This window comes from Homo sapiens, chromosome 6, assembly GCF_000001405.40.
Source record: "Homo sapiens chromosome 6, GRCh38.p14 Primary Assembly".
Classification (NCBI taxonomy): domain Eukaryota; kingdom Metazoa; phylum Chordata; class Mammalia; order Primates; family Hominidae; genus Homo; species Homo sapiens.
Genome location: NC_000006.12, coordinates 99595988 through 99623592, shown reverse-complemented (window position 1 = coordinate 99623592; position 27605 = coordinate 99595988). Strand labels below are relative to the sequence as shown.

General features: G+C 45.4%; 1 protein-coding gene across 1 annotated transcript, besides 5 other annotated features; it reads right to left on the bottom strand.

Moving 5' to 3' along the window:
* Positions 1–8030: 8030 nt before the first annotated feature.
* Positions 8031–16760, bottom strand: PRDM13 (PR/SET domain 13). The gene is made up of 4 exons (NM_021620.4): positions 16415–16760; positions 14721–14852; positions 14286–14406; positions 8031–10560 (listed from the first exon to the last, which is right to left on the bottom strand). Exons 1-4 carry the CDS (start codon positions 16556–16558, stop codon positions 8834–8836), a joined length of 2124 nt encoding a protein of 707 aa, NP_067633.2. The 5' UTR covers positions 16559–16760; the 3' UTR covers positions 8031–8833.
* Positions 9026–9075: a silencer, noted in NCBI's record as "silent region_17423". NCBI's record gives its function as "represses an Ori minimal core promoter by ATAC-STARR-seq in GM12878 lymphoblastoid cells {active_cell/tissue: GM12878}" and the evidence as "EXISTENCE:reporter gene assay evidence [ECO:0000049][PMID:35858748]".
* Positions 9071–9619: an enhancer, noted in NCBI's record as "H3K4me1 hESC enhancer chr6:100061850-100062398 (GRCh37/hg19 assembly coordinates)". NCBI's record gives its function as "activates a minimal SCP1, AML or CMV promoter by ChIP-STARR-seq in naive H9 embryonic stem cells {active_cell/tissue: H9 hESC(naive)}" and the evidence as "EXISTENCE:reporter gene assay evidence [ECO:0000049][PMID:30033119]".
* Positions 9786–10005: a silencer, noted in NCBI's record as "silent region_17422". NCBI's record gives its function as "represses an Ori minimal core promoter by ATAC-STARR-seq in GM12878 lymphoblastoid cells {active_cell/tissue: GM12878}" and the evidence as "EXISTENCE:reporter gene assay evidence [ECO:0000049][PMID:35858748]".
* Positions 19201–20040: an enhancer, noted in NCBI's record as "H3K4me1 hESC enhancer chr6:100051429-100052268 (GRCh37/hg19 assembly coordinates)". NCBI's record gives its function as "activates a minimal SCP1, AML or CMV promoter by ChIP-STARR-seq in naive H9 embryonic stem cells {active_cell/tissue: H9 hESC(naive)}" and the evidence as "EXISTENCE:reporter gene assay evidence [ECO:0000049][PMID:30033119]".
* Positions 20106–20165: a silencer, noted in NCBI's record as "silent region_17421". NCBI's record gives its function as "represses an Ori minimal core promoter by ATAC-STARR-seq in GM12878 lymphoblastoid cells {active_cell/tissue: GM12878}" and the evidence as "EXISTENCE:reporter gene assay evidence [ECO:0000049][PMID:35858748]".

Sequence of the window (27605 nt, the reverse complement as noted above, 5' to 3'; positions counted from 1 at the left end):
GAAATGTCAGAAACATGTGCAGCTACATGTAATGAACTCAACAACTGTCCGAAGGTCATAGAGGTCTTCCTGCAAAATACATGTCATTCTGTTTACATCAAACACAGAAAACTCATTTACAAGTGAATGTCATTTTCATCTTTGTTCCATGGCCAAGTACATCTCATTTGCATTTGTTTTTTTCCCTACTGGAGTGCTTGTCACTATTCTACAGCTGGTGTGGGTTGTGCTCAGTACCTGCTACTTACCATAGGCTCAGGCTCTAGTCATCCAGTTACAAGTCTGAATCATAATCCCAAAGACGGTTTTACATAAGGTATTTTTAAATAATATGCATCATTGGGAAATCAAAATTTGGTGATAGTGTTCACAGGAAAAAACTAAAAGTTCAAATGCATGTGCATGCAAACATACTCTTTTCCCATGTGAGCCCAACATTAGGATTTCTATATTGCTAGGCCTGGAGAGGTACAGTTCTATAGCTAAGGCCTCCCAAGGATCCTTTGCCAAATTCCCAAGAGAACAAAAGAATGGGGTGGAGGCCCCATTGTTGTCTCCCTATGTACAGAGTATGATCAAGAGCTAAAGGTAACTCTGAGTTTTCCAACTATGGAGAGAAGGACCAGTTGAACAGTCAGCCAATCATCCCTCTCCCAGACGCTGGTCTGATTCTGACACTGTCCTGGCCAGCTCAGCATCCTCAATAGCTCTTTCCTCACTGCAATCAAAGCAGTAGCACCTTATGAAACACACCTGCAGCCCACCTACAAAATCACTTAACACAAGTTATTCATTGAAGTGTCTTTAAGGTAATAAAAGATTGAAAACAACCCAAAGGTCATCAACAGGAGAATTGGTTAAATCTGTCTTTCTACATCTACACAATAGAGTACTATGTAGCAATAAAAGAAAAAAAAAGTGAGGAGGCTCTCTTTGAATTATCATGGAAAATTTCTCCACAGTATATTAATTTGAATAAAAAGCAGGATACAGAAGAGTGAATATTAAATATTTAAGACAGGGAAGAAAATAAAAATACATTCATTCTTGGATATTTGTATTTACAAAAAGAAAACTAGATGTATACAAGAAACTAAAATAAGTGATTACAAGTATAGATCAAGATTTTTTGGTTTTGAAATTCATAGAATTTGGGGGATCTACTTTAAGAAATAAAACACAGAATTAGGTACTGGTCTGTATTTGTCCATTTTCATGCTGCTGATACCTGAGACTGGGAAGAAAAAGAGGTTTAATTGGACTTACAGTTCCACATGGCTGAGGAAGCCTCAGAATCATGGTGGGAGGCAAAAGGCACTTCTTACATGGCAGCAGCAAGAGAAAAAATGAGGAAGAAGCAAAAGCGGAAACCCCTGATAAACCATCAGCTCTCTTGAAACTTATTCAGTATCATGAGAATAGCATGGGAAAGACCGGCCCCCATGATTCAATTACCTCCCCCTGGGTCCCTCCTACAACACTTGGGAATTCTGGCAGACACAATTCAAGTTGAGATTTGGCTGGAACACAGCCAGACCATATCAAGGTCTTATATAAGGATTTCACGCCAGTGAGCTTCGTGGTACCTCTACCCGTGGTTGATTACCTATGAGCTGACAGAAGTGCACAGAAATGAGATTGGATTAAGACTCCTAGATAGATACCTATTTAGACAGTTTTGTTCTTTGAAAATTGAGTATATTTCTTATTTAGAATGCAAAACCTACCTTTTTTTTTTTTTTTTTTTTTTTTTTGGTAGATACAGGAGTCTCGTTATGTTGCCAAGGTTGGTCTTGATCTCCTGGCCTCAGAGTGATCTTTCTGCCTTGGCCTCCCAAAGTGCTGGAATTATGGGCATGAACCACCTCACCTGAGCATCTCAATCATCTTATTTAAGTTTGGCTCCATTCTGCAACCTTGTGTCTGCAGGGATTCTCCCTCAGCCCGACTTTTTCCTGATGACAATGTGCCTAGCATTCTGTTTTGAGTTTGCCCTTGTATTTCCCTCTTTCTGATCACCCTCAGCTCTGTCATCAATAGAGCAGCTTCAGACCACCCCAGCCCCACCTCTGCCCCCTGCCTGGCCCAGATTTCCAGGAATATAGCCTGCTACATGTGAAAAGAGTTTGAACGTTGAATGAACCACACCACAAATGATCTCCAATACCATGGGATGCTAGGAAACTGGGAACTTTTTTAGGTACTGACTTGGGAATTCAGTGATTCTCTGGCTGTGCACCATAGTCCTGAAATTCTCAACAGAATCCAACTATTACACCTTCCTTCCTAGGGTCCTCAGGATCACAGGTGGGCCATTTTAAATCTATCCTTATACACATCTTCTTGTTTAATAAAACCAAGTAAGCCTAGACTAGATAGGACACAGCCTTGCAGGGACTTACCAGAATTCAAATGTCTTCAAATACATAACAAGCCAAAGATGGTCTCTAACTTAACTCTGGTTCCAGCTAAAAAGCCTGGGGACCCACTTATCTTTCAGCTCACCTCATCATCACCCTGTAAAACATTCATTGGATCTAGTTACAAAGGATTCAGATCGAATTTCTGGAAACCTCTTTCATCAGGTGACACTGTTTTAAAGAGGTCATATGGCAGGGTGTGGCAGCATGTGCTTGTAATCTCAGCTACTCAGAAGGCTGAGGCCAGAGGATGGCTCAAACCCAGGAGTTCCATACCAGCCTAGGCAACATATTGAGAACCCATCTCAAAAACAAACAACAACAACAATAAAGCCCTAAATAAATAAATAAATGAATAGAACAAGAGGGCATACATTAATAGTATGTTGAGAATAAGGCTGTGTAGTGGAGTCAGTAGGCTTAGGAATGAATCTTAGGAATACTTCTAGCTTGGTATTGAAACAAGCCCCATTTCCCTTATCTATTAAATAGATTGTTATAAAGATTAAATGAGATAATAAAGATTTAATTAAATGAGTGATGTCAAGGAAATCTTGAGGCGAAGCTATTTTTTTTCCACTTTATGAGAATATTGGCCCATATAAATATCATGAAGTCTCAAACTACTAATTCAATACAATAATAAACAAATTGATTTAGAAACCAATGTAGGGCATAGTATATATACAAGCACCTATAGATGGCAATGCCAGTACCCTGAGATCACATTTCAGCATGTTAGCTTTAAATAATTCCGAAAGCCTATCCCATAAACCCTCTGATGTATTTTCTTTTCTCTACATCCTCTTGGTTGCTAAGGCATTTCTTTCTCTTGCTTTCTGAAAAATCACAAATAAGCTTATAAAATGCGACATCCTACATTGACTTGTTTCTCATTGGATTGACTTTTAGCATACCTGAAAGCATTTTGCTGCTCACAGATGTGTGCTGCTACAGTCCAATGCCCTCAAGAGAGCTTGAATCCGACCTGGTCACGTCTCCATTTCCCTTAAGGTGACAATTCAGGAATCCACTGCTCAGTGTCAAGTACAGAATCTTATCTCTCTGCCTTTTTTTTCCAGGGATTTAAACAAGATTAAAAACAATCTTTGACCTTCGCTGTTATGTAAAGCCATCTGCTATTGCATCTATCTCCACTATATCTCCTGTCACATAAGACATTTCCACCTAAGGCTTTCTACTCAAATCACTAGATTTAAGTGTCTCCCACTCAAATACAACTTGCCATGAAAGTCATTCTCTACTTAAAGTAACTTTCAGGAAAACTGCTGCACTACCAGCATTAAGAATAGAAAATTTGTATTTGCAGCCATTTCCTGCAATATCAAATTATGCAAAAGTATATATGGATAGAAAAAAAGTAGAGAACGCTCATGATGTTTGGATATTTATTTCATTTTTAGTAGTTTCCTCACTCTACTTGAAAACATTTCTCTTAATCTGTTTAACTCAAATTACCAAAAAATCTGACTTTTATATTCTTTAATGAACTCATGATTTCGTCTTTATTGGCCATTTACATGAAACGTTAAACTTTAAATAATTAAAATGTACTTGAAATAAAGCTAGTGCCTTCAGAGGGGTTACATGCATATGTGTAGTCCACCCACTTTCGGTCCCTTTTTGAAGGACTCTTGGAGGGTTTGCAAGCTAAAGGCATTAACAAGTTGTCTGTGGTACAACGGCTTAATTTGAATTAAACTACAGTCGCATATGACAGAAGCCCTCCTTTCATCTTTTGTAGGGAGGTCGCCGAGCCCAGAGCGAGCGCCACGCTCCTTCTGGAACTAAACACGTTGGCCCAGCCGTCTGATGAGTCCTCCTCTTCACAACTCACACCTGGGTGGCCAAGGGTCACGCTTGACCTCGCGATGGCGCCGGCGCCTCTGCCCTCTTCCCGTTGGGAAGGCGGCAGATGGCGAGAGCGCACGGCGCGGGTGCCGCAGCTCCCCTCCACAGCGGGGTCGGGCGGTTTCCACAAAGACCAGTTACGCCTGAAACTCTCCCGTCCTCCTGCCGGCATCGCGGGTCTTCCCAGGTCCTCCTCTCCAGCAGGACTCCTGGACTGTCCACCTAAACGCGGCGAGACTCCCGCACCTCTGCCCCAACAAGACCCCAGAAACCCCTATTCCCAGGGAGCGCGAGGCTGTGAGCCCAGGGAGCGCGAGGCTGTGAGCCCAGGGAGGGCGAGGCTGTGAGTCCAGGGAGCCCGAGGCTGTGAGCCCAGGGAGCGCGAGGCTGTGAGCCCAGGGGTCGCCACGCCACAGGACGCTGCTCGCACTCTCACCTCCGGCTCCGCCTGGCCGCCGCCGCACTAGCCCAAGCGGCCGGGGTTCTTTCGCCGCGGCCAGCTCGCCACCAATAGCAACCCTGGCTCCAAGGAATGCACCAATGGGAGCGCTCGGAGTAACGCGGCTCAACCAATCACCGCCCTCTCGGCTCTGGAACCCCACCAGCAGTGTTATCACTACTCCCGTAACTCCGCCAAACGGTAGTTCTAGCCACTCCCGTCCTTCCCTCAGAGTCTAGACGTCAAATATACTTTTCCCTGAGTAGAGTCCTGCGGAATTGCGGCTTATGCTCGGCTCAGGAAGACATGCACGCGCGCTCACCTCCGCTGCGTTCTTCTGCTTAAGCTCATCCCTCAATGCCCAGCCAAGCTTTTCAAAAATTAGTGAAAACAAACGAGAATTATTTTTACCACGCAATTGACCTCTATGAACTATTCGAACCTTTGTCTCAGCTTAAAATGGAAAGATGGCCTGAGAAGGAAGAGGTCTGAAGAAGTCTTTCCTTAGCAAAAGCATGGAAAGCCTTTATTTACTGAAGCTGATGTGAGTTGGGGGCTAGAAGTGAACCAAGAGGAGAGTGTTCTGCAAAAAGATGCTAGTGTTATACAAGGCTATCAACCCTTATCTCCTTAGGTTGATATCTTCGAAATGAAAACACAAAGAGTTGCTAGAATTTAGGGTTTTTTAAAAATATATATATCGTTTGATAGCTCACTATGCGTCAGGTGTGATCTGAGCTGCTGGCCTGCGTTAACTCATTTGATGTTCACAACTATCCTATTGCTTATTTCGCCCTATTTTTACAAGTGAGGAAATTGAGGCAATAGAGAAACTGGCCCAAGATGCAAAGCTACTAAGTGACAGAGGCAGGACTAGAACCCAGGTCTGTCTGAGGTATTTAGGTTAACAAAACAGTTTAATGCCCAAACTAACTAGGTTCAAGCAATCTAGAGTCTTTCACTTCTAAAGAAAATGAATACACCTCCTATCTTTTAAAAAAAATTTTTGGTACAAAATATTCAGTTAGAATCCCAGAAACTTCCAGTGGCATTAGCATAACCCTCAAAGTTAGTTGTGGTCACCAAGATAAGAAGAGTTGAATGGTGGGTGGCAGGGAGAAGAGAGAAGGGGATAGGAAACAGAAAGAAATAATCTGAGAAACACTAATTCAACTGAGGCACTTAAAATAAACAATGTTATTGTTCCTGATTGTATATCACTGATATGACTTTGTCATTAAAATGAATAATGGCATTATGTATGATATTATGCACATACATGAACAAATACATGGGTTATTGAGGCAACCTATGGAGAATTACACATGACTTTTGATTAAGAGACACTTTGTTCAATTTTTTTGTATTGGAATCTATTTTAACAACGTCTAGAAGATATCAATTCACAAAGGGGAAACAGAATACTGGGTCCTTTGTTTTATTAAATTCTAAATGTATATCCTTTAACCAAACTAATTTTAGGTTTATTTTTTGAGATGGGGTCTCACTATGTTGCCCAGGCTGGAGTGCAGTAGTTATTCACAGACATGATCATAGCACACTGCAGCCTTGAATTCCTGGGCTTAAGCTAGCCTTCTGCCTCAGCCTCCTGAGTTGCTGAAACTACAGACATGAGCCACTGCCACCGGCTTATTTTTAATTTATTTTTATGAGCTATTTTCAGAAGTTACAGGAGTTGGTACTGAGCCAGAAAATGGGAGAAGGGGGCAATACTGTTATAGCTGATAAAATGTTTCCCATGTTTCAAATCTGGGCAGCCTTTGTCACTTTCCTTAAGAACTCATATGCTCTGATTTCAGAAAAGCTTTTCCAATATTCTTCTATAGTGGACGATTTGGTTTGAAGCAATAATTGCTTCTAAGGGCAGGACCACAATACTAAGCAGGCAGCAAGAAGCTCTGGGCTCTTGGAGGTGATTTAGCAGGCAGATGCTTTAATTCACTTCTAGTTCTGTGTGATGAACTGTGAACCTGGTGGGGCAAGCTGATGGTCCTCCTCCATGGAAAGGAAAGAGCTGCAAGTTGCATAAGAACCTGGCACAGTATAGGTCCTCAATAAATGGTAGTATCTTTGTCACCATATTTACATGTTGATAGTTTTTTTTTCTCTCTCTCTCTGTTAGCTTTCTTTTACAAAGTGAAACATTTTCTGGTCAGCTGACACTAAAAACCTATAATTCCTAGCATACATTTTCTCATAGAAGAAATCTTGCAGATCACCACCAATAGAAATCACATGCCCTCCCCTATCCATGCCCCCCTGCTGTGATGTGCCAGAAAATGTTCCTGCCAGCCACCGGCTGACTAAAGCAGTGTTGCCAACAGGAAGAAAGGTGAAGACTTGCAAATCATTCAGGATTCAGAAAATAATGGGCATTTTTAACTGAGTTAAATTATCAGAGTCACATCCAGACCCTTGGGTGACTCGCCAGAATCTTCAAACTGATCTCTGAAAAGTGCTGCAGACATGGGCCCTTCGGGTACCTGCCCTTAGCTAAGAGGTTGACTGATCCTCCACTTTCTACAGTGAAATCCTCCCCAGAGTGTATATGGGGAGGAAGATGGGTGCTTTCCAATTTTAGTCAACAAAATTATATTCTTTATGATATCTGCCCATTAGCTAGCATTTTTTTAAAACCAGTAAATATAGTCATTGCTTCTAATTTTGCTGTTCTAATTATGGGCACCCCAGTGTCCTTAAAGAGTATGCTTTCTTTTCTGTAAGATAGGACCAATACTGACAGCAGAAGACCATTGGAAGAAGTACATGGGAAAAAGAAACTTATGAGTAAAGCAAATAGATCAGCACTTCCAACAAAACAGACCCTCCTTTAGTATTTGTTGAATTAATAATAAAATATATGAATCATAAAAGACACTGAGCAAGTTTCCTTTCTTGCTTCCCAAGGAAAGTTCTGTCAAAATGGAGCACAACAAGAAATAGTGATTCTACAGTTCCATACTTTTTTTTTGACAATATGTGGGTTTTTTCTTCTTGAAGGTCATGAACTTCTTTCAGTAAACATGAAAACATTTAGCATGATTAACAATAGTTTTAGGAAACAATTGTTTTGCCTGATGTTTGGGAGCCTGTGAAATGCACATATTGAAAATGGTATATTTCCCTGTTATAATACAACACTGCTTAACATTATTTTATGAATACTCAAAGTATTCAAGTCTCCAATGATTTATTTTATTATGCAGTCTCCTCGCAAATTGTTTTCAAATTAAACTACTTCTTTAAAATATCTGCTGAAATCACTAAGTGAACAAAACTCTCGTTTGTATCTTTATTTTTCTTAAAGATTGCACAATCTGGAACCAAAACCAAAATACTATACCCACTGTACAGCAGTCATTATAAAACAACACACACCACATTTGTATTCTACCAAATAGAATATTTTCTTTAAAATTATATATTGCGTGCTCTTAGATTCATGCTTTAGATATTTTACATTTATCATTATTTTCTCATAAATAATTGCAACTTGACCAATTTGTACACCTGCTACCACTATATATTCAATGGGGCAAGGAGTAGTCTTTGACATGAGAACAGATAAAATGTAAACAAGTATATGGATGTCACATCTACCCAATTGTGACTAGTGTTTTGCCTATGCAATGAAATGCTAACGTGAAATACACACACAAAACGTCGTTTCAAAAGGCACAATTTCCTCCACAGAAAAGTACAACTTAAAAATACGTGGCAGTTAAAATCTGCGCCCTCGAAGGCGCTGTGACGTTCGCATTGATGTGATTCTGAACACCAAGAGCAGACCGCCTGGGCGGTTCAGGGTGAGCTCATCCAAGAAGTCCAGAGGCCCGGGGTGCGGAGGTACTGGTGGCACTCGAGCTCTCCAGGTGGCCAGATTTACGCCACCTCTGAACTGTTGCTCTGAGTTTCAGCACCAGATGTGGGACCTCTCACTGTTTCAAATCTGGCGCCCTCTCAAAAACAAAAACGGTTTTGTCCATTGGGTCCCTCTTCCCACCACCAGGAGTTCCTCTACTGCGAGAATAAACCCTCGACTCCTCTCTGTCCTCACCCCGCCCCTTCCCGGGAAGACTCGTTACAAGTCGCGCTCCCCGCCGCCCCCAACCTCGGGGTCGCTCTGGTCGTCTGTGAAGCAGACGTCCACGTCACTGTCGTCGCTCTTGGGATCCCCAGGCTCCGGGGGATAGCCGGGCTCGGCACCCGGGCCGTCGCCCGCTTTGGCGAGCAGACTCTGGCCAGGGTGGCGGGACTTGACATGTCGCTCCAGGTCCCGGCGGCGCACAAGTACCTTGCCGCAGAACTCGCAGCGGTAGGGCGTATTGCCCTCGGCGTGCAGCCGGATGTGCTTGTTGAGATTGCTGGGGTCGCCGAAGGGCCGCAGACAGACTTTGCACTTGAGTGGCTTGTAGCCCGTGTGCGTCCGCATGTGGATCTTGAGCCCATACTTGCGCGAGTACAGCTTGCCACAGTAGAGGCACAGGTGGCCGGTCTTGGGCTTACCTGCGCCGCTGCCTCCGCTGCCGCCGCCCCCGGTGCCTCCCGCCGCCGCGACGGCCGGTGGCAACGTCCCCGAGTCCAGGCGTCCGCGACCCTTCCCGGCAGCCATCTCGGACAGCTGCTGATTGTGCATGGCGATCTCTCGGTCGATGCTGGCCAGCGACCCCAGCTCGGCGGGGCTTAGGGCGGCCGCTGCAGGCCCGCTGAAGTAGGAGATGGACTCCGGATACTTCAGCAGCCCGCCGAAGTGCAATTTGAGCGGGTAATAAGCGGTGGTGGCCGGTGAGCCGTAGAGCAGCTCCCCGTTGTAGACTGTAAAGGCCGGCATGACGGCGGGCAGGTGGCTGCACTCACCACCCGGATAGGCTTTGAGACCGCCCGGGTCGAGGGGCGGCAGCGCGCAGCGCTCGAGGGGCAACCCCGGCGCAGGGGGCAGCTGCGCATAACGCGCTCCTGGCAGCGCGGCGGCTGCGGGCGGGGCGCGCTCCACGTGCTTGAAGGCGGACGCCTCTTCCGGGGGGACGGAGAGCAGAGGGAAGCCGCGCAGGGCCCCAGAGCAGGGCAGGCCAGGCGGCGGCGGCGGCGGCGGGTCCCCAGCGAGCAGGCACTTGGGATGGTGGTGGTGGTGCGCGTGGTGGTGATGGTGGTGACCCGCGCCGCCCGCCGCCGAGTTCTCCCCGCTCCCGGGGCGCCCGCACGCCCGGCCCCCGCCCAGCAGCCTGCCCAAAGCGAGGCCGGCTCCTTGCTTGCTGCTGCTCTCCTCCCGGTAGGGGTCGCCGTGAGCGGCCGCCGCCGCCCTCGCTAGGCCGGCGGGCTTGAAAGCTGAGCGCACGCCGGGGTAGAAAGCCAGGCTGCCGACCCCCGCCGAGGAGCCGCCCACGATGCCGAGGAAGTGCCCTTGTCCTCGGGCGGCTCCGCTCATGTCCAGGGCACGGTCCAGCTGCTCCTTGCCCTTCTTGGGCTGCCCCCACTTGCCTGGGGTCGGCGAGGTGGCCGAGGGCGCGGAAGAGGCCTCGCGCTTGATGCCCTCCCGCGCACCGCAGGCCTGAACTGGTGGCGGGCCCAGGGGGTGGGGTCGCAAAGTTCCTGCCTGGGAAGGCGCGGCGAAATCGGGCGCCGGGGGTTTTGGGGAGAGACCGAGGCCATCAGCCGCTGGGACGGCGCCTTGGCGAGCCGCGTGTTCGTGGTGCAGGAAGGCGCCGCCTCCACCGCCGCTGAACACGCAGTGGAAACGCAGGTGTGCCTTAAGGCTGTTGGGGTATCTAAACGTCCTCCAGCAGTACCAGCAGATGTAGCGCTCCTCCCCTGGGCAAGAAAGAATGGAAAAGCGACCCGGTGAGAGGCGAACAAGCGAGACATAAAGAAAGCGCCAGTGCACCCAAGGCAAAGCCCAAGTTTCGACTAGCGGTGTGGGGAGAGGGTGAAATATAAGTTCGGTAGCCCTACTGTATCGAGGACCCCGAAAAGCCCCAAATGGCCAATCCTTATCAGTGTCTCCATCCTCTGGGACTACTCGGAGGCCAAAAAAGGTGACGGGGCCTTTCCAACGAAGACTTCCTCCAGGCCATCCGAGCAAAATCTTCGTTGGAAGGGCAGCACTCAGGCAGGCTGGCCGTGTAAGAGCAAAGAGCAGCTGTTGCTTTAAATCAAGTGTTGAGGCTGTGCAGTGCCTGGGCCCATCTGTTGGCGTTTGCAGAATAGGTGGCGTATGTCAAGGAGTTTGGATAAGCTGAACAAAGACCAATCTAATGGTCGTGAGCGCCTCATTACCAGGCGAGACAATATCCTGTATGTATAGGCCATATGTAATCATTCCTTTTCACAGGACAATGTCTTTTGTGTCCCCTACCCACCCATTCCACCCCCTTCCAGCCTTAAACACTTTGCCTGAGGTTTTCCTGGAGCGTGACCAACTGAAGGACCACATAGGGACTATGATTTGCCATTCTTCAAAATTATTTGTATCTTTATTTCCTCTTTAACACCATTTAATTTGCTGGGAGAAAAGAAAAAATTCTTATGCCCTGATACTCTAAAAAGGGTGATGATAATCTAAGAAGGATGATGTTGCATTGTCTTGTCTTGTCTGCCACTTGGTAATTAATTAACTCCTAGATAGCTGCACAAATCCAAGCTTAGTAAAGTCTTTGGAGAAAATATATTAGTTTTTTATTATATGAATATATATAAATGATATAGATCGATAAATAAATATAGATACTCAGCTTTTAATAAGTGCAGAATTCTCTACCGGGCACTATATACGTGTTTGGTGTGAAATCTTTTTATGTGTTTAGTATTATTAGCATTAGTTTATTCATTTTGCCCGAGTTTGTGAACACAATCAAGAGACACATATATGAGACATTCTGATCACATACTAGAAGTTAATTTCCACTTAAAAGGGTCATATTACTGCTGTAGAGAGAAATGATCTTGCAGTTGGGTTTCTTTTAAAATGTGGTTGATTGATAATACTGAAGGGAAAGATGTCTGAGAAAGAAGTTAGTTGAACCGCAAGGAAATATCCAAAATATACATCAGTCTCATAAAATTTAACAGGAAAGTTAAATTCTCCCTCTGCATATATGAGCAGCTCAAACTTCTGAAATATTACTACAGAAATAACAATAGGGAAGAATTCCAGATCTTCTTCCCTTTATGTATATTAACTTCTGGGTTTGCATAACACAAGTAGCTCCCACCCCTACCCCATAAGACCTGTGAAAACTCAAGTGATAAGCACTGCATTCCAACTGAGTCCAAGGAGAGCAGAAAGAAAAATGGGAGAAGAGTATTTGCCTATGACACCCTACCCTAATCGTTTATAGAAGTCTTAGATAAAACCATTTCAATATTCTGTTACCTTGTACTGAACATTCATGTAAAATGAATCGTGAAAAAAAGAGAGAATAGACCTCCTGGGTTCTCTTGGTGGGTATGTTGTCTTAAATAACTTCCTTCTAACTTCAGAGCCTTTCTCTCTCTCATCACCCCTTTTGAAAGAGGGAGTTTTCAGAGTCTGCCGCAGAATGACTCAGCTCAATGCAAAGCCACATAAGCTTTTTTCTTAAAATGAGGGGGCAGTATTTTCCTCCATCTTACTATGAAATTGAAACCCACTGAAGTTAGCTAGTATTAGGAGGATAGCAGCCATCCCTATTTATTTCTTCCTCTTTCCAAGCTTTAAGCAGCATACGTTTAATATATACTTTTTTTCAGTTATCCTAACTGACATATTCTCCAGACTCTGAGATCCAAATCATGCCAAGAGTATCAAATACATTTAACAAGTGACTGCCTCCTCTTCATGTAACTCTAAGGTGGTCAAGAGTTCAAACTTCTCCAAGCTGGGGAAGTCAGGGTTCAAAATCACCCATGCCTTCTCACCTCCAGAAAAAAAAAATGTTTATTTTGACATCTGTTACCATATGATGTTTATAAGCTCAATTGGCTGAAAGGAAAACACAAGGACCGCTATTCCAGTTGCTTTTGTACTATTTGGGACTACCTAAGAAAGGGTGTTCTCTGTAGAAATGGCTGGCTTCTAAAGGTTAGTGGCCCGCCAAATTCTATAGTGGCAGATTTGAGAGTTCTCCACTATGTGGCTTTTATTATACTTCTCTTTTTACTGGAAGAAGTTGACAAGAGAATGTAATATAATGTGATGCAAGGAACAAACTATTTTAGGATAATTTGAATACTATACCTACAAAATAAACAGAATTAACTTACAGAGGACGATGATACTTTAAAGTGATTCATTGTTTTGAATAAACTTCATTCTGTGTTATTCATGAAGTGTTTCCTAATTCACATACTTGTATTGATTTCTCTAAACCTATTTCTAAAGGGATGAGATTGAGCAGGCAATTCAGGAAGACAGCATGTTAGAATATTTCACAGCATTCATTATTTTGATGTTAAATGTGTCTTTAGGAGAAATTACAGACAATTGTCAAAGAAAAAAAGCCATGGAAGCTTTGTGTGTGAAAAGGAAGTCTCCAAAACCTCAACTATTCTAGCACCTCCTAGACTTCTTTCCACAGGAAGTGTTCTTCAGTGTTCAAGGGTAGGTTTAAAAATGTTTTTCTGTTTAGTTACTGCACCTTAATTTGCATAAATCCGCTCTTGGCTTTGAAGGGATCAAATAAATCTGAGAAGAAACTGGGATACATCCCAGATTCAACTTAAGTAGGCAAGGGGAAATGAATAAATGCCACTTAAATGGAAGGGTCTCAGTACCTGCCAACTGACCAGCTGTAAGTACCGTAATACTTCTAAAATGCTGTAGAAATGCACTGCTCTCCTGGAAAGCCAGTGGAGAAGAAATGTCCATGGACTTTGTAAAAGCATTCCAGGTTTGAGTTATACTCTGTGGAACTCATGATGTAATTACTGTAACAACAACTTAAGGCTCCTTTTTTATTTTTTATTTTTATTTATTTATTTTGAGACAGGGTCTCACTTGTCACCCAGGCTGGCATGCAGTGGTAACATTACGGCTCACTGGAACCTTGACCTCCTGGGCTCAAGTGATCCTCTTGCCTCAGCATCCTGAGTAGCTAAGACTACAGGCATGTACCGCCGCACCTGGCTAATTATTTTTTTGTTGTAGAGACAGAGGTCTCACTATGTTGCCCAGGCTGGTCTCGAACTCCTAGCCTCAAGTGATCCTCCTACCTCGGCCTCCCAAAGTGCTGGGATTACAGGTGTGAGCTACCGCGCCTAATTTTTTTTATTTTAATTGAGTAAATAATGGTCTGTTTGAATATGCAACAGAAAAAGGATGGCCCCATTAAGTTCATAGAGCCTACTTTTTCCCCTGCCATTGTGAGCCAGATTGCTACTATCACTGTTATCGTTTATGGTTGATTTTAAGGAGGTAGTGGCGACCTCTCTCCTCTTTGCCTTGAAATACAGGGAATGTGAATTCCATTTTACATAGATCGAGCTATGTCTAGGGACTCGCTTCAAGACAGGAGGAGGAGGGCTGGACTTTTGCCCATCCACGCTTTTGGAATGGGTACCTTTCTCGTCGTGAGTCGGAGTCGCTGTGGTGGGGATGTCGAACCACTGAGCCAAGGAGTTAGAATACCACACTGTCAGCTCCTCCCCTGGCTGGACGTCTCGCAATGCTCGGTAGAAGATCTGGGACGCAAGGAATAGAACAGTTCAATGTCATTTCCTGGGTAATCGGTCAAAAAGCAACTGAGAAGAAAGGTTCAAATCCGGATTCTGATGCTGTGTGACCCTGGAGAAGCTACTGGAGCTCTCTGAACCTCACTTCCGTCATCCTTCAAACGGAAAAACAATAGTAACTACCTTAAAGGGTTGTCGAGACGTTTAAATGAGACGTCTAGCTAAAGTACTTTGCTCTTAATATTTTTGGCCACCGCAGGGACGGTTAGGTAGACTGAATTGGCGGTGGGGAGTGGGGGGGTGTGGAGAGAAGCCCGCAGTACCTGTCCTCCGGGTAAGTCTGCAATAGCTTCCAGAGTCTGTTCCTGGGAGTTTCTGGCTGCCCGGATTAACCCTATCCACTCCAGAGGGGAGCCCCCCGACTCGTCCACCAGCTCCCCTCTCACCATGCGCACCTGCAACACAAGCAGTGGTCGTTCTCCCCCGCACCTTGGCCAGGCCCACAACCCAAACAGAAAGTTTATCCTCCACCCCAACCCAACACAGGAAAGTGGTTGTTTTTGGTTTGGCCAGACCACTATGGGCTACTGGGAGGAGGAGAATTCCTTAGGACCTTGCTTCGGGGAGGGAGAAAGAGGAAAGTCTACCTATGCTAACAGTACTCCCACTTCCCTGCGCCCCACCTTGACGACACGGGGAGGGGAGAGGGGTGTTGAGAGCATCCTCCCTGAGTGCTTAGGCACATCTTGTACCAAGTTGTCCCCTACCCCAGCTCTCCCATTTGCAGTTCTGAGAGCAGCCGTAACACCACGGTAGAGACATTTCTAGGTCAGTCCCAGGGCCCAGAGCGTACCCCCGACAAACAAACAAAAAAATTATCTCATGCCTCCTGTATTCTGTGTGCATCGCACCTAGTTGCCTGTGAGCCCTGCAGCTAAAGTCTCGGAACAAAGCCCAAGCGGGGAAAAGCTTGCCCGCAGCTGGCAGGCCATTTAAAAGCAATTAAAACGCGTTTAAAGAGGAATGCGCGGTGGGCACCAAACCCCGCTTTAGACTGTAGTGGGGGGCGTGATTGCAGGAGGAGCGAGGTGCAAGTCCCGCTGGCTGGACACCGGAGCTTTTTACTAGAAAGCTCCAAGCAAGGCAAGCTAAAGCCAAGGAAGCCAAAGTCCTTTCTTCTACCCCAGACTTCTGCCTTCATTTCCCGGTCGCTGTTTGCCGACCTTTGGCTCCTGGGACGCCCCCAAAGCGGGCGAGTGCTATAAGTCTCTCTGGTCAGGGGTCGCGACGGTGTGTGGAGTGTGGGAGTCAAAGCTAGTGGTTTGGCCCTGGCGCCTCCCGGTTGGGCCTCTGGACTCTCAGAGCCCCGCTGCAGACGCTCTGACCCTGTGCCCCGCGCGAATGGGCGCGCCTCGCCCTTGGAGCCCGCGTCAGAGCCAGTACCTTGCTCATCCTCTCTCCATATGCCGCATACCCACAAGCCGACATCGGCAAGGGAAAAAAAAATATCTGAGGAGGTTCTAGGAACTGAGAGCCTCCCAAAGATTTTTTTTTTCAGGAAAAAAAATTACTTTAAGGCGAAATTAGGCCTCAAATTAACATATTGAAGGGCAGAAGGGAAGAAAGGGTCTCGATGCCCTGAGCCCCCAGAAAGAGGGTGCTTTTGCAGAGAGAGCTGCGGACAGCGTGCGGGGGTGGGCTTCTGGCTTCTGACTGAGGAGACCCGAGAGCGCAGGGGAAAACACAAGCTGCGAATGGTCCCGGCACCTACAGCGCTCAGTGCACCCCACCCAGGGCTGTCGCCTCTCGGCCACATCCTCTCCTCTCAGCCCGACCCCGTCCAGCTCTCACAGTTAAAGAGGCTACTTGCTCAGAATAATAGGAGTCCCCTTCCACCCGGCAGAATTAGCAGGTAACGACTCAATCACTCCCTTCCTCCACTTTCTCTCGTACCCCTTTCCCGGGTCAGGGCACTGAGAGGCGAATGGCAGTGGGCAGAGGTCTGAATGGTCAATACCTTTTTCTTAGGCCCGGGCTCCCTGCGGTCTGACAGGTACTTGCCCAGCTTGAAGGTACCAGGCACCGGTCCGAGGCGCAAGCCGGCCGGGATGCAGCAGTCGGCACTCACGCTGGTGGCTGGCGCTCTGGCGGCTCCGTGCATTGTTGCCGCCGCCACCAGGCAGGCGCTCGGGTGCTCCAGGTCCTTGGAAGGGCGCGAGTGACAGAGCTGGAGCTGCGCGCTAGCCAGAGAGCCGCGCCCCGACGTGCGTCCTCCGCCCGCGGAGTGACGCGGGCGGGCATGCACTGCGCCTTTTCAATCGGGGCGGGAGCCTTTTGGCACCGCTAGCGCAAGGGCGCGGAGTTTGGTGAGAGAGTTGCGCTGCGAAGCAGCTGCAGAGTCCCACCCGAGAGGGTCACATGGAGTGGTTCCCTCAGCCCCCTGCATAATCGAGGCCGCTGAATGGCTAGCACACAATGGTCCAGGCGACCTTCCCATTCCTAAAAATCCAATTTGTCAAGGGCGAAGAAAAGGCACTGGTGAATCAAAGGTCCGGCGGGACCATTAATCCTCAGCATGGGGTATTGTCCTCCAGACAGTTACGATATTTTAAGTGACAAATCCACTGTATAATTTCTCCATAAATTTTACTTCCTTTTATTGTTCCCCGACAAACCAGTTTTGGGAAATAAGTGACTACTTTAAGTCTACTTGGCTGATTCCTTTGAGCCTTGATCTACTTCAAAGATTTTTAATTCTCTCCCCTTGGCTTTATTGTAAAGGAGATTAAACAAAGAGATGGAGACTGTTTGGAGGACTTGTTAACTACTATTGATTTCTGGCGTGTGCCATACAGAAATTAGGCAGGTACTTGATGGGAAAACACCAGAAAATACCTACACTTTTTAAATAACAACCATATTACCATTTCAGGGGATTGGGTTCAGGCCAGTCGTCTATTCAGAACCGCTTTAATTCTCACTTCTGTCCCATTTCGTCCGAAAATATGATGAAGCCTCCAGACCAAGTTGAGAAGGGGAGGTCAACTGCTCATCACTTTTCTCGGGCACACCCCGGGCCTGCACTTTCTCTGGAGAATGGGAAACAGCCCCAGAACCAACAGTTTCGAATGGGGATCCTGCGCCCCGGTCCGCAGCCCAGGGTTGAAGAGGAAGAAGTTCTACCAGTGGGTTATTGATCACGTCCCCTAGAAGATGTCCTTGGACTAACTTCCCTAAAACCAGCAACCTGGACTTTTCTATTAAAAAAAAAACAGTAAACAAAAACGAAAATCACCGCAATCTGTTAAAGGTTGTAGAGAAGAGGGGCGAGGTGGGCGTTTGGGACAACTCTTTCTTACACCTACTTTGTGAACTAACAAGACGTTGTACTTCAGAGTTAAACCGGAGAGCTACCCGTTTTCTTTTAGGGAAGCCTCCAATTGGCGTGAGAACATTTATTTTCATAAATAGTAGCCAAGTAATCAAGTTCATCAGATATTTGTGATTTCTGCCGGCACCTGCCGCGTGCTGCTAGTTCTGAGCACAGCTCCCCAAATCCTATGCAGCCAGCACCGGAGCCCGATGCAGTTCTTCCAAGAGAGGCCTGAGTGGTGGTGTATTTCCAAGCCTAGCGCCAGAGGCCCAACCACTGCACAAAAGGGCAGAGGGCCCTCAGCAGCGCCCACGCTAGCTTCTCCTCGAGGCTTTGTCGGCTGAAAGTGCTGGAGCGATTGTGGTTAGCAAGGGTGGCAGGACGCAAGGTGGCGACACCTGCAACTCAGCAGTTTATCTGAGGAGGGTCTTCAAAGAAGCTCCGTGTGGTGCCCCTCACTCGAAACCTATGTTCACCACACTGGGCAGGACCAGGACACTCAGGATCATTCACCCTGTGCTCTCCCACTCAAGACTCGGGGAACCTTTAGTGGATTGCTTCGGAGGCTCAGCCTCCCAGTCTGTAAAATGGGAATGATGGATACAAACAGACCCTTTGCTTCCTCTCCGTGGTTCACTTCGGTTTGTAACAACAATCTGTAGAGTGCGTGCATTCTAGAAGCTCCAAAACTGGTTGTTTGCCTAATGGGAAAATCCAGGCCAGGCCAAAGGTTTCAAGTCTAAGCATCTCAAGTCAGACCATGAGAGGACACACGGAAGGCTGGCCTCGGGCCAACTCCAGGGCCTGTGTATACATGGCTGCCGAGGCAGAGAAGAGCCGCTTGAAAGGTCTGGAGGGCCACACACTGTGGCCTCTGGGACCGTGCAGCCACACTATGCCCAGGTCACTTTCTGAGGGAGCTGCCACTGATTTTTCCTCAGAAGCCTCCAATTGCGCTTCTGAGGGCTGCGAAGACTGCCCTCAACAGAGCAGAGGGAGGCTTTGATCCAGCGGCCCATGAATGGCAAAAGCCGGGGGGTGGGGAGGAGGAGAGGAAGCCGCTCCGAAGAGTCAGGGCAATAAATTTAAGCCATGAACATGTCCCTCTAACCTCTGGCCTGGCGACTCTGGGATGACACCCAGTTTAAATTACCAGCACTGCAAGCGGGAAGGGGCGAGCGCTGGGCCTGGGTTCGGGGCGCCTCCCTGGCCCTCCTTAATGAGTGAAAAAGCGTGAACGACACGCGAACAATTTTATCAATAGGACCATGTAAAGGCCGACTGTGAGGAAAGTTATTTATTAATATAGCCAATTGTGGCTGGTTCCCAGCCCCGCGAGAAGAAAGAGACTGCGCCAGAGGCATTCACACCAGCTCGCCGAGTTTTATTCTGTCCTGTGGCTCAGAGTTGAAGTTCCCCAAGTGAAATAAATTGTCCACAAAGGAGAAAAGGAACACATTTTCTTTTATTTTTCTTCCCCTAAAAAGCAAGGGTGAAACCAATCTAATGTGCCCAGTGGAGCAAGATGGGCCGTGAAAGGCTGGGTGTTAAAAGTAAAAGCGGGCTGTGCAGCAAATGGGATGGAAAATTAAATGAAATTAAATAGCTTGAACGGCCGTATTGTCCCTTATTAAAAAGACACATTAATTACATGGTCTCAGCCTTATTCAAAGACAATGTTGAGACTCAATCAAAACATTCCACTCGGCTTTTTTTTTTTTTTTATCGACTTGAAATGGGCGTCCAGAGTCTCCGTTAAAGCGAAATCTCTCCTACACCGAGGTGCGGGGAAAGGCGGTTTAGGGGCGGTCCTGCTCCCTGCCCACAGTAGAACCGTTCGGGCAAGGCTCCCTCTCCGGTAACAGGTTGCCCTAACGAGGCTGGAATGCTCACCAGCAGCCGCCGGCCCTCCGAGAGGCAGGCTACGGAGAGCTAAGTCCCACCCGCGGGCGGCTTTCGAACCCGGCAGCGTTAGGGGGCGGCCCCGCCTGGCGCATAGTCGCGAATGAGCGAAGAGCTGGGAATGCGGCCGGCGCCGAGCACGTGTGACCTGACTCGGCTCCGCCTAGAGGAAAGGAGCCCCTTAAGACTTTGAGGCTGAGATGAGCGGCTTCTTTCAGACCACACTTCTCCGGGGCTGCTCGTCACCGTCGCTCAAAGGCCTTGAGTTTCAGGTCCCCACGGGGACCGAGGGAGTTGTCCCGGGGGTTGGGGAGGCGGGCTCAGCCTTGGAGACCCTGGTGCTGGTGACTCACCAAACACCCCTCCCTCCTAGGTCAACGCGGAATCCCAAAACTGGGGCCGGAGGAGTCCTGAACCCGGGGATGCAGAGAGCCGCGCGGGGTCAGAGACCCGAGGCGAAGGAGGTTAGGGAAAGCAGAGAGAGTCCTGCAAGCCCCGCTTTCAGTAGCCGAATTTTGGCCTGAGGTGGCCTGGGCTGCACCCCCCGAGGGTGTCCGCGCTGGCCGGGCGGGCGGGTCAGCTTGGACCAGCTGCGCGGCCCCCGAGGCGCGGGTGGGACATTAAGGCCGGGTCTGAATAGGGCGGCGGCGATGGGCTCTGGGAACGCCACCAGATGACACGCCGGCGATGAGGCCATTTTCCCCTTAATTGCATGGCCGGTGGATGCGCGGCGGCCGGGAGGCTCCAAAGTGGCAGCCAGGACGCAGCCCGGACGCCGCTGGTGGGTTTTGTGGTGCCTTTTTTGTTGTTTTTTAAGTCCTCCGTTGGAAACGGCTCAATAAAAGTATTCAGAATCCCTCTCAAGTTGCCTTTTAACCGGAGTTCTCCAACTTATTTCTTGGTTCTTTCGGTTGACATGGTGCAAAGAAAAGTCAGCGAGCGTGTTGCTGAATTGCAATGTCTCGGGGCACCTCCACATTCAGCGCTTCTCTGCCGGCCGCTGCCGAATGAGCCCGCACTCAATTCGATTTTCCTTGCTGTTGGGCACATTTAGGAGCTCCTCTATTTGTGAAGTTCATTTCTAGGCAAATGTATTCAAGAGCTGATGGGAATGAATAGGACCGTGTGTCAGCCGCCCCTAATTGGGATTAAAGCACTTAGGAGCATATGCAGAGAGTGACAGAAATTCTCAGGTTGCATTGTGTTCAGACTTCCACCCGCTCGGACACTTCTCCTCCAGGGGAGATTTATAAAGATTGCATGGAGAAACTGAGGAAAGAAAAGCGAAACGGGAAACAACTGGGCTAATGGCTCACGATGAGGCTGCGGTTCCGCAAGTGGTGGTGACAGCTTCTGAGAAAAGATGCTGGGGAATAATTGAACGCGGGCCGGGGAGCAGGTCTGAACTCTTTAATCAGAAAGGCGGAGAGTTAAAAGGCGAAATAAAGGTGTTCTTGAGATTCCCAGAGGGTATTTCCCCCTTTTCTTCTTCTTTTTTTTCTTTTCCTTGAAGAGCCTGGATACATTTCTTTTTATCTCTACCCTCCCACACCCACACTAAATAACATATCCTCTCTTGGAGCAATAATAAGAACAATTTGGTACTCGAATTAGAGAGGGGAAAAGTCACAAAAGAAACAAAAATATCTTTTTTTTTTTGTATGTTGAAGACTTCACACCCAAATAAATCAATGAAAGTATTTTCTGGCCTATGAATGTGTGTATAAAGTATACACATGCTATGTTAAACACAATCATAATATGTATTTATACAATTAAGACTGTGTGTAGATCTATAGTGTGGTAAATCTCCACCTAGAAGTGGCTGCTGGGTTTCTGAGCTGAAGTGACAAAGCTTCCCCCAACCCCCTGCTCTGTCACCCAAGCTGGAGGGCAGTGGAGTAATCATGGCTCACTGGAGCCTCCATCATGGTTCACTGCAGCCTCGACCACCTGGGCTGAAGTGATCCTCCCATCTCAGCCTCCAGAGTAGCTGAGGCTACAGGCGTGAGCCACCACACTTAGCTATTTTTTATTATTATTTATTTTTTGGAGATTCCATCCAGGCTGGTATCGAACTTCTGGGGTCAAGTCAGCTTTCCAAAGTGCTGGGATTACAGGCATGAACCATGGTGCCCAGCCCACGAGGCCTTTTAAAACCTGAAAATCAACATGGAACTGAGGCTAGGACAGTTGTCTAAGCAGAGAGAATTGACAGCCTCTTTTAGCCCTTGAGGAGCAGAGAAGCCAGAAAGGACAGATGAACACTGAACAAAAGAATGAGGGGGAAAGCAGATACTTCTGAAATTATCTTGATTTTCTTTTCTGTTTCTTTTTTTTTTTTTTAATTCATCTGCAAACGTTGGTTCCCAGGAAAAGTGAGAGACTCTGGTTGTCTGAGCTCAGGATAGGAGAGAGACTTCTCACTATATTCCTTTTGGTATCATTTTGGATTTGGTACCATAAGAATATATTTCCAATTAAAAGTTATTCTTGCTGGATGTGGTGGCTCTCACCTATAATCCCAACATTTTAGGAGGCTGAGGCTGGGGGATTGCTTGAGAGTTTGAGACCAGCCTGGGTAACATAATGAGACCCTGTGTCTACAAAAAAAAAAAGTTAATAATAAGTTATTCTTGATATTACATTTTTTAAATCTGTATGAGGGCAAGGGGAAAAGAGGGAAGAAATAAAAGGATGGTAACGTGGAAATATGAAGAAGAGATGACAACCAGCAATTTTTATAATAAATTCCTATTCAAAATTAGGCTCCCAAACTCACTCTAGAAACACCTGCTAACCACAGGCTTAGCCATGGTGGGAAGCTGTGTTCTTCAACTACAAAGGAGATTCTGGATAAAGGAGATGACCATGTGACAAAGTGACAATCTCCCCCCACCCCACAACCACTTCAAGCCATGAGTGGAATATTTTCTTTCTCCCTCAATTCCTAAAACCTTCTTTCTCCCCCAGGCTAGCCCACCTCATAAAGAAAGAACATGTGAATCTGTGTTCAGGAGGCACAGGATTTTCCTTTAACCGCAAATCTAGTTTTAAACTTTTTGGAAAGTAAGTCATTATCAGAGGAAGCTGGCCTGGCAGATACCTTGGTAGCCCCTGGGAGAACCTGTGAGCAGTTGAAGTTGATCCAGTGGTCACCACGATAGCAAAAGAAACAAAACAATACAAATTTCCTGCTTATGTCACAACTAAGAGCCAAATTTAGGTTCATAACCAGCATCTTCGAATACCAATTAGAAAGTTCACTAGTAGGATCTGTGTGTTCTTCTACTGTCACCACTAATTATGTGTCTGATGCAATGCTATCACTCATGTTATCCACACTCATGTTATTTATATGCGTGAGCAAGTGATGATACATTTCAATTTCCTGAAAGTATAGTAGAATTTTATATATCCTTCATTTTACAGTAGGATAAACATTCAGATAACCTTTCCAACACATAAATAATCACAATCTAAAATTTTGGTAAGGTTACATAAGGTAAATTTTATGTATATACACCCAAAGATATTTTTAAATAGTTTTATTGAGATTCACAAGCCATAAAATTCACCCATTTAAAGTGTACAATTTTTTTAGTATATTCACAGTTCACAGGGATGTACAACCATTACCACAAGCTAATTTTGGAACATTTTCATCTCCCTCACTCAAAGAAAGCTCGTACCCAGCAGCTACCACTCCCCATTCATCCCCAGCCTCTCCAGTTCCAGGCAACCACCAGTGTTTTTCAGTCTCTAAAGATTTGCTTACTCTGGACATTTTATCTAAATGGAATCATACAACATGTGGTTGTGATTTTTTACTTAGCATGTTTTCAGAGTTCATCCATGTATCAGAGTTCATTCCTTTTTGTGGATAAATAATATTCCATTGTAGAGATATATCAAATTTTATTTTTCCATTCATTAGTTAATAGGCCTTTGCTATTATGAGTAATGCTGTTTTGAACATTGGTATACATGTTTGTGTGTGTGTGTGTGCGTGTGTATGTATATATATACACACACATATATATGTGTATGTTTTTGTTTTATTTTATTATTATATTTTTTTTGAGATGGAGTCTTGCTCTGTTGCCCAGGCAGGAGTGCAATGGCACAATCTCAGCTCACTGCAACCTCCACCTCCTGGGTTCAAGAGATTCTCCTGCCTCAGCCTCCCAAGTACCTGGGATTACAGGTGTGCATCACCATGCCCAACTAATTTTTGTCTTTTCAGTAGAGACACCATTTCACCATGTTGGCCAGGCCGGTCTTGAACTCCTGATCTCATGTGATCCAACCACCTCGGCCTCCCAAAGTGCTAGGATTAGAGATGTGAGCCACTGCACCCAGCTGTTTTTATTTCTTTTGGATATATACCTAGGAGTAGAATTGCTTGGCCATATAATAACTAAGTTTAATTTTGGGGGGATTGTCAAACCGTCTTCCAAAGCAGCTACACCATTCTACATTCCCACCAGGAGTGTATAAGGGCTTCAGCTTCTTCACATCCTTGCCAACACTTATTATCTGTTTTTTTAATTATAGCCATCCTAGTAGGGATGAAGTAGTGTCTCACTGTAGTTTTGATTTGCATTTCCCTAATGGCTAAATGAATAATGCTCAGACATACTTTTGCGTGCTTTTTGCCATTCATATATCCTTTTTAGGGAAATGTCTATCTAGGTCCTTTGCCCATGTTTCAATTTGGTTGTCTTTTAATTATTGAGCACACACATTTTTTATAACTTTTTAAATGCCCAACACATAACAGGCTATTAGGTTGAATGATCATAACAACACTATCAAGTAGAATTTATTATCTATATTTTACCAGTGAGAAAATTTCAAAGAGGTTAAGAAGCTTATTGGGGTCACACAGTAAACAATGGAGACAGAATTCCTCTCACATAATTCTGGGCTTAAAGTCCAGGCCATTTACACTTGACCTCACTGCATTAAGGGGCTTAATTGATGTCACATATCTGTTCTTCTCTATGCAAATGATTAAGTTACCACGGGACATCATAGTAGTTGAGAGAGTGGGCTCTGCAGTCAGAGTGCCTAGATTCAAATCCTTCTTCTGACACTTAGACACATGAACTTGAGCAAGGGTAACCTTTCTATTCTCCAGTTTCCTCATCTGTAAAATATGAGTAATAAAAACACCTACTTCACAAGTGCTCAGCAGAGCACTCAAGACATAGGATATACTCAGAAATGTTACTTATTAATACTCTTATAATGATACTATGCTCACCATTTACTGATCCCTATGATAATGTATTTGTACTGTTAGGCTAGGGATTGTATATGATAAATTAAATGGAGCAGGACTTCTGGCACCAGAGGCTACTTGAGAAGTCACGTAAGATACAGTCATGCATAGCTCAGGGCAACAAATAATTGATGAAGGGAAGCCTCTCTTTATAGATGTATTCTATCTCATAAATGAATAAAGAGTTTGAGAATTCAAGCATTATTGTTTTGGAACCCTTAGTGAAATAATGAATCCAGGCAATGATCATCAGTGATGGCTAGCAGCACAAAATGCAAGACAACTACATATTATGTGCCTCTGAATGGAAGCAGGCAACACCGCCTGTGAAATAATCTTGCCAAAACAAGCAAGCAAGCAAATAAACAAAATCAAACCTGAATCTGATTGTTCTCATAATAAAAAATAGAAAGGACAGATGAACATGATAAACAAATCGGTGGGACCCAATCAGCAAAAACGAAACAAAACAAAAACAGACTGTGGGACCCTTTACTGGACAAATCATTTTTATTTTTAACAAATAAGTTGCAAGGTGAAAGGGAGAGGGAGGGGGAACCAATACATTTAAAGAGATTTAAAGAGTGTGATGGTTTAAAAATATGTCCACAGATTCTTTAACAATTCACATCTCAAAAAGCGGAACCTTGAGTGTGGGCAAAATTTAATCACTTGCTTGTAACAAACAGAATATGGCAGCAGTGACGGTGTGTGATTTTTGAGACTAGGTCATTGAACATTCCTCCTTGATATCTCTACAACACTGACTAGGTATTTAATGATATTAGGAATTAATGTTAATTTTAAATGAAATAATTTTAGTATGGTTATGTTTTTTTAAATCCTTATTTTTCAGATACATGCTGAAATATTCACAGAAGAAATATGATGTCTGGGATTTGCTTTATGTAATTCTAAGGTGAGAGGGAAATGAGTAGAGGTATAGATCAGGATTTTTATAGATCAGGATTTTTTGACCTAAGCACTAATGACATTTTGGACTTTGTTGTAGGGGCTGTCCTGTCATTGTATAATATTCAGCAGCATCCTTGTCTCCACCCACTGGATGCCAGTAATATCCCTCCCCTATTGTGGTGCCAGACATTGACAAATTTCCCTGAGGGAGAAAATCACCCTCCGTTGAGAACCACTGGGTATAGATGAAACAAAATTGGCCGTAAGTTGATAATTATCCAATTTGAGTGAGTAATGAGTACATGGGCATTCGTTACAATATTCTGTCTATTTTTGTATGTGTTGGAACTTTTCAAAATAAAATGTTATTCAAAAATAAGATTTTTTTAAAAAGTCCAGTAGGGGAGAAGAGATGTGAGACAGGCAGTGGGTATGTGCACATGCTTTCAAATCTGAGGGGGAAAAAAAAGCAAAAACAGGTTCTTTGTTTCTGTGATCTTTTAAGAAGCTATACCAGCTATGGGCTAGAGAGAATGTGCTGAGTTGCAGGGTGTACAATCTAAATAGCTGCCTGGAATCTTCAAAGCTACAGTGGTACCTTGTTAGACCTAAGAAATCCACAGGCTTCACAATGGAAAAAAAAAAAGGTACTTCTGTGGCATTGAATAAAACTCTCTCTACTCTTCTCAGTTGGGATAGGAACCACCAAATGTGATCTGAACTTAAGTCAATTATAATGGCCTGAATTCATTTTATTTGTACAAATACCTTCCTTGTTAAAAAAAAAAATCGGCAAAGTTATTCCACATTCATCCTTGACCTTTAAGCCTCAAAGTCATGTTTGGAAGACAGCATGGAGGAGAAGAGTCTTCAGTAATATCCCTCAGTTTGGGGATACTGTGCTCCTAACAATATCCTAAGACATGTCTGGATCAGTGAGGGTTCTGAGGTAATGTGGAACCGTGTCCTCCCAAAATTCACATGTTGAAGTCCTATCCACCAGTACCTCACTCGGAATGTGAGCTTATTTGGAGATAGGGTCTTAACAAGATAACCAAATTAAAATGAATTTATTAGGTTGACTCCTAATCTAATATAACTGGTGTCCTCATAAGGAGAGGCATTTGGACTCAGACATGCATGTAGGGAGAATGTCATGTGAACATGAAGACAGCCACCTATAAGCAAAGAGAGAGGCCTGGAATAGATCCTTCCTTCACAGCCGTCAGAAGAAATCAATCTTATCAAAACCTTGATTTTGAACTTCTGGCCTCCAGAACTGTGAGACAATAAATTTTTGTTATTTAAGCCAACCTGTTTTGTTGTACTTTGTTAAGGCAACTCTAGCAAACTGATACAAGTACAAACACCAAAAACTCTCTGTGAAGGGTTGAAGCAGAAAGGGATAAGAGGTGGTTCTGATTCTATGTAAATGTAAGAAATACTGGCTTCAAGGCTACTTCCCCAAGGAAACCAAATTAAACCATAAGATGGCTCGACTGGAGGCACCACAGCCAAGGCACAGGACACAGACCCGACAAATTACACCGCTGTCTCTGAGAATGGCTCTCTGCCCCTACTGCCTCAAGAAGTTTGATACTCTGCTGTTGACCTCACAAAAAGGGATTCCACACAGGTGTTTGCTTTTTCACATTACTTATTTCCAAATCAAAGTCTTGGGTGGTAGTTTCTGACTTAGAACCTAAGCCATATTGCTATATCCTATATGCA